Genomic DNA, 7,710 nt, shown 5'->3' on the forward strand with positions numbered 1-7,710 from the left:
TGTGTGTTCCAGGTGTTTCCCAAGCCCCGCGGGAGCAATCTGCTTTCTTCAGAGGGTCTGTGGGTTCTCTTGGCTTTCCTAATATATTCCTGCAGTCATTCTGGAACAAAAGATCATGATGCACGCCTCCACATACTGCTCTGTCCGTCTGAGTGGGAGCTGCAATCTACTCCTGCTTTCTGTCCACCATGATTCTCCCACAATCTCTCTTGGTCAGGACACTGTCTCCAACTGTGGCCCTGGCTTGGCCTCCTCCAAGGTGCTGGTTGACAAGATAATGCAATTTTTGACCTAAAATATCATGTCTTCTGCCAGCATTCATGAAACTATGAGAGGCTAACTTATTAGCTTGCAAGTAGGGTGAAATCTCAGACCCTTTACAGTTCTTGATAAGTAATTTCTAGTTAGACTTCCAAACAACCGTGTGATACCCTATTTCTTGATATTCATGGACAAATAGATTTTTACTCAAAAGAATTTTGAAAAAGAAAGAAATTAAGGATGAAATAATGTGTCTGGGTCAAATTACTATACTTCACAATAGACATCTATGAAGTGATTTTGAAAAGTTTGTGAAAAATTGAATTAAAATATAAAAATAAAAATATAAATTTTATTTCTTACCATAAGCTCTACCAAATTCAGGACACTTTTGTAAGCAATGATACTGGCCATTTAGTCCATTCCTGAAAACTGAAGGTTGTGGAAATTTAACCACCTCAATGCAGTTATTTTAAATTACAATTATTATTATTATTATTATTATTATTATTATTTTGAGATGGAGTCTTGCTCTGTCACCCAGGCTGGAGTGCAGTGGTGCGATCTTGGCTCACTGCAAACTCTGCCTCCCGGGTTCAAGCGATTCCCCTGCCTCAGCCTCCTGAGTAGCTGGGATTACAGGCGTGTGCCATCATGCCCAGCTAATTTTTGTATTTTTAGTAGAGATGGAGTTTCACCGTGTTGGTCAGGCTGGTCTCAAACTCCTAACCTCAAATGATCCACTCACCTCAGCCTGCCAAAGTGCTGAGATTACAGGGGTGAGCCACCACACCCAGCTGTCATTTTTAATTAGTAACTGAAGAAAAATAAATGCCTTTTACAGATTTTTTTTTAAGATTAGGAAATGAAGTCAGAAGCCAAATCATGACTGTAAGGTAGTTGCCTAACAATTGCTTAATAATTTTGAAATACTTCCAAAACTGCCCTTGTTTGATAAAAGGAATGAGCAGGGGCATGGTTGTGGTGGAGAATAACTCTGGTGAAACTTTCCTTGGTATTTTTCTGCTAAAGTTTTGTCTAACTTTTTCAAAACACTCTCATAATAAGCAGATGTTATCATTCTTTAGCCCTCCAGTAAGTCAACAAGCAAAACGACTTGCGAATCCTAAAAACGCTGTTGTCATTACCTTTACTCTTTATTAGTCTGATTTGCTTTAGCTGGACCATGCCCACCTCTTAGGAACCATTGGTTTGATTATGCTTTGTCTTCATGATCATTCAAGTAAAGTCATGTTTTATCTCATGACAATTCTTTGAAGAAATGCTTCGGGATCTTGATTCTACTTGTTTAAAATTTCCATTGAAAGCTCCACTCTTGTCTGCAGCTGAGCTGGTTTTGGCACCCATTGAGGGAAAAGTTTTATAATTTAATTTTTTAGTCAGAATTGTATAAGCTGAACCAGTTGAGATGTCAGTGATGTTGGCTATTATTTCTACTGTTAATTGTTGGTCGTCTTTATTCAGGGCATGGACTAGATGAGTTTTTTTCCTCACAAATTAATGTGGATGGTCTGCCACTACAGGCTTCATCTTCAAAATCATCTTGTCCATCTTTTATGTTTTGACCCGAACATAAAAGTCAAAACCATAAAATTTTAAGGAAAATATCTTCACACCTTGGAGGCCGGCAAATATTTCTTATTTAGAGCACAAAAAGCGATGTGTAAAAATTTGTTTTTTTTTTTTTAGACAGAGTCTTGCTCTGTTACCAGGCTGGAGTGCAATGGTGCAATCTCAGCTCACTGCAACCTCTGCCTCCTGGGTTCAACTGATTCTCCTGCCTCAGCCTCCCAGGTAGCTGGGACTACAGGCGCCCACGACCACGCTTGGCTAATTTTTGTATTTTTTTTTATAGAGATGGGGTTTCACCATGTTGGCCAGGATGGTCTTGATCTCTTGACCTCAGATCATGAGGTCAAGATCTGCCTTGGCCTTCCAAAGTGCTGGGATTACAGGTCTGAGTCACCGTGCCTGGCCCAGTGTAAAATTTTTAAAATTATAAATATTACTTAATATTTATTGAAAGATAATAAACTAGACTTACATATTTATAGCCTGTCTCACTGAAGATCCTACTAAAATTTATATATATAAACTTTAATTTTTTTCATTCTAGGTAATGAAGGGGACATGAAATGTCATCAGTAAATAAGCAAACTCAGTTAAATTCTGTTGGACAAAAGCAGTGGTTACTGTGGGAACAGAACAGAGGTTAGAATACTAGCACAAAAAGAATATAGGGAAGAAATAAACAAATTTGTCACAAAGAACCATAGAGAGCCAGGGAATTCAGCAAAAACATTGGTATAGAAATGGAGGACAGGAATGAAATGTGGGGCTGAAAACAGAAGGAATAATTTATTACAAAGTGTGATAGATGTCATGGCTCTCACTCATATTTTTTGTTTTATTTCTTCTCAGTACAAGGTAAGATTATACTGCCCTGTCCCCCTGAAGTCAGAGATGCCAAGTGACTTGATTTGTTTAATTAAATGTTAGTGAAAGTAATATGTGGCACTTCCTTTAACATCCATGACAATTTACTCAACTTTCACTTCTGTGGCACTCTACTCTCTTGGTTTTATTCTCACTGTCAAGCTACAAAAACTTACTCTCTTTAGCAGCCATCCCTTTCCTGCTCATACCCTAAATCCTGTATTCTTTGTAGTTCTGCCCTAAGCTTCTTATTTTATCACTGCAGATTCTCCACAGATAATCTCATTTATTCTAAGTCTTAATTACTATCCGCACTTCTGACTCTCAAATATACTGTATTAGTTCATTCTCACACTGCTATAAAGACATACCTGAGGCTGGATAACTTATGAAGAAAAGAGGTTTAATTGACTCACAGTTCTGCCAGCTATACAGAAGACATGGCTGGGGAGGCCTGAGGAAACTTACAATCATGGTGGAAGGCAAAGGGGAAGCAGGCACAATCTTCACATGCAGAGCAGGAGAGAGAGAGCAAAGAGGGAAGTGCCACACACTTTTAAACCATCAGATCTTATGAGAATTTACTCACTATCTTGAGAATAGTATGGGGAAAATCCACCCCCATGATTCAATCACCTCCCACCAAGTACCCTGTCAACACTGGGAATTATAATTCAACATGAGTTCTGGGTGGAGATACAGAGCCAAAATATATTATTCCACACCTAGCCTCCCTGAAATCTCATTTCCTTCTCACATTTCAACACAGAATCATGCTTACAAAACAGCCCCCAAGAGTCTTAACTCATTCTAGCATTAACTCAAAAGTCCAAGTCCAATGTCTCATCTGAGACAAAGCAAGTCCCTCTGCCTATTAACCTGTAAAAATAAAAGTCAAGTTAATTATTTCCAAGATACAGTGAGGGCACAGACATTGGGTAAATGTTCCCATCCCAAAATGGAGAATCAGCCAAAACTAAGGGACTACAGGCCCCATGCAAGTCTGAAACCTAGCAGAGCAGTCATTAAATGTTAAAGCTCCAAAATAATCTCTTTGACTCCATGTCTCACATGGAGGACACGCTGATACAAGGGGTGGCTCCCAAGGCCTTGGGCATCTCCCCGCCGTGGCTCTGCTGGATACAGCCCCTGCAGCTGCTTTCACAGGCTGGCTTTGAGTGCCTGCAGTTTTTCCAAGTGCATGGTGCAAGCTGTTGGTGGCTCTACCATTCTGGGGTCTGGAGAACAGTGGCCCTCTTCTCACAGCTCCACTAAGCAGTGCCCCAGTGGGGACTCTGTGTGGGCACTCCAACCCCACAATTCCTCTCTGCACTGCTATAGTAGAGGTTCTCCATGAGGGCTCCTCTCCTGCAGCAGACTTCTGCCTGGACATCCAGGCATTTCCATACATCCTCTGAAATCTAGGCGGAGGTTCCCAAAACTCAATTCTTGCCTTCTGTGTACCTGCAGGCCCAACACCACATGGAAGCTGTCAAGGCTTCGGGCTTACACCCTCTGAAGCAATGGCCCAAGCTGTACCTTGGTCCCCTTTAGCCATGGCTGGAGCTGGAGCAGCTGGGATGCAGGGCACCATGTTCTAAGGCTGCACAGAGCAGCAGGGCTGAAAGTCTGGCACATAAAACCATTTTTTCCTCCTGGGCCTCCAAGCCTGTGATGCAAGGGGCTGCTGTGAAGGCCTCTAAAATGTTCTGGAGGCACTTTTCCCATTGTCTTGGCTATTCACGTTTGGCTTTTCTTTATTTATGCAAATTTCTGAAGCCTTGAATTTCTCCCCCCAAAATGGGTTTTCCTTTTCCACCACAAATTTTCCAAACTTTTATGCAAATTTTCCAAACTTTTATGCTCTGCTTCTCTTTTAAATATAAGTTCTAGTTTCAGGTCATTTCTTCGTTTATGCAAATAAGTGCAGGCTTTTAGAAGCAGCCAGGCCACATCTTGAACACTTTGCTTCTTAGCAATATCTTCCACCAGATACCCTAAATCAAGTCTCTCAAGTCTAAAATTCCACAGATGTCTAGAGCAGAGGCACAACACGGCCAGTTTCTTTACTAAAGCATGTCAAGAGTGACCTTTACCTTAGTTCCCAATAAGTTTCTTATCTCTATCTGAGACCACCTCAGCTTGGACTTCACTGTCCAAATCATTATCAGCATTTTGGTAACAACAATTCAACAAATCTCTAGGAAGTTCCAAACCTTCCCTCATCTTGCTGTCTTATTCTGAGCCTTCAAAAGTGTTCCAACCTCTGCCCATTACCCAGTTCCAAAGTCACTTCCACATATTCAGATATATTTATAGCAAAGCCCCACTTCTTTGGTACCAATTTTCTGTATGAGTCCATTCTCACATTGCTGTAAAGACATACCAAAACTGGGTAATTTATGAAGAAAAGAGGTTTGTTGACTCACAGTTCCATAGGTTGTAAAGGAGGCATGTCTGGGAAGACCTCAGGAAACTTACAATCATGATGGAAGGTGAAGGGGAAGTAGGCACAATCTTCACATGGCAAAGCAAGAGTGAGAGCAAAGGGGGAAGTGCCACACTCTTTTAAATCATCAGATATCATGAAAACTCATTCACTATCATGAGAACAGGTTGGGGAAAATCCGCTTCCATAATCCAATCACCTTCTACCAGGTCTCTTCCCCATCACTGGGAATTATAACTCAACATGAGATTTGAGTGGGGACGAAGAGCCAAACCATATCATATACATATACATATATTGTATACATATATCTACAAGTTATCTGATAACATACTGACCCCCATGCTTACCTATTTGCGGGCCTGTTTTATTAATATTTCATAGACAAGTGATACTAAATCTTTTAAAATTTTAACTAATTTTTTTCAAAACCTTCTCTCTCTCTTGACTATTCTGCTCTCATGAATGATACTATCATTAGTGACAGCATCATACTAGAACAAACTGTACACTCAAAGTTATTTTGGCATCTCTTATGAGCAATTCTTATTTCAATCAACATACAAGAATAGACACAAAATCAATTGATGACCACTTTAGTAAATTTTTAAAGTCATCTTTACTTAAATCTCATTTACATATAATAAAATTCACATATTTTAAGTAGATATTTGGAGGAATGATAAGAAACATGTACGCTTGTATAACCAACACACATTCACAAAATGATCAACTTTCATCAATGTAGAAAGTTTCTTCTTTCTCCTTTTTCAGGTAGTCACCCTCCAGGCCCAGGTGACCATTGGTCTAGTCTCTAATGTTATAGATTAGTTTTGGCTGTTCAATAACCTCATTTAAATACTTACATAATGTGTTTGTCTTATTATTGAAGTGGAAGGTTATATACTTTTAGTACAAATTCTTTGTTGGGTGTATGCATTGCAAAAATTTCTTTTTACCTGTACCTTGCATTTCATTATTTTAACTTGTTCTGAAGAGTGTAACTTTTTAACTTAGATTAAGTTTATGTTATGTATATTTTTTCCATTATGGTTAGTGTGCTTTGTGTTCTATTAAAAAAAATACTCTTTGCCTACTCCCAGGTCACAAAGATTATCTCCAGGAAGTTTTAGAGTTTAAATTTTTATGTTTAGATCAATAATGCATGTTGAAATGTTTTTGTATAGTGTGAGGTAGGGACTAAAGTATGTTTTGTTCCATGTGGATAAAGTTATTGTCACATTACATTTTTTAAAAAAACCTATTCTTCCCTAATGAATTACCCTATTGCCTTTACATAAAACCAATGATCATACATGTGGATCTATTATTACACTCCCTTTCTGATTCATTGATTTGTATATCTATCTTTATGCTAATACCAAACTGTCTTGATTACTAGATCTTTATCATAAATTTTAAAATCAGGTAATGTACATCCCCCAATTTTTTGCTTGTTTTTTTTTTCCTTTTTCAAAGTTAGTTTTGGCTATTCTGTGCCCTCTGCATTTCCATATCAACTTTAGAATCAACTTATCAATATGTACAAATAATGTAATTTATCTGGAATTTTGATGGTTAAATCTATAGGTCGATTTAGGGAGCATAAACATCTTGGGAAAGATGCTGAAACTTTCAGAGCCTCTGATTTTTTAATCTGCAAAGTCAAAAAATACTTTAGATGTGTGTTGGATAGATAGGTAAGATATTTTATGCCGAATTCTTAACCTTGCCTGGCACATAATAAATCCCTACCATTATTTCTATTACTATTATTGTTAACCAAATGGTTTCACCTGTGTCAGCTTATGTGTTTCTGACCCTAGCCATGTGAATGGAGCAGGACTTATTACCATCAAGCATTTATTGAGAACTCCTCACGAGATATTTACTTTATAAATAAAGAAATGGACTGGGCACAGTGGCTCACACCTGCAATCCCAGCACTTTGGGAGGCCAAGGCGGGTGGATCACCTGAGGTCAAAAGTTTGAGACCGGCCTGGCCAACATGGTGAAACCCTGTCTCTACTAAAAATACAAAAATTAGCCAGGTGTGGTGGCATGTGCCTGTAGTCCCAGCTACTCGGGAGGCTGAGGCAGGAGAATCACTTGAACCCAGGAGGCAGAGGTTGCAGTGAGCCAAGATCATGCCACTGCACTCCAGCCTGGGTGACAAAGTGAGACTCCATCTCAAAAAAAAATAAATAAAAATAAATAAATAAATAAATAATAAATAAATGAATATTTAGGTAATAAATTATCTTGCTGGAAATCACACAGCTAGTGAGTGGTGAAGGCAAGTCTTGAATCAAATAAGTCTTCTAATTCTCACAGTCTTTTCAATATAAATGTATAGAGAAAGGCATGGAAGGAGGCAGGAAGGCAGACAACTTAGAACAATAATTCATCCTATGCAGAACCAGGATAGGAGCTGACAAAAGAAGAGACTAGCTCAGTTCATTGGTTCTTTTGTTTCTGTATCCTTGAGCTCACCACACTTTCCTTTCCTCTACTCACTGGCTCCTTAATCATCCAAAGAATTT

The sequence above is a fragment of the Homo sapiens genome, chromosome 11 (assembly GCF_000001405.40).
Source record: "Homo sapiens chromosome 11, GRCh38.p14 Primary Assembly".
In the NCBI taxonomy this organism is placed as follows: domain Eukaryota; kingdom Metazoa; phylum Chordata; class Mammalia; order Primates; family Hominidae; genus Homo; species Homo sapiens.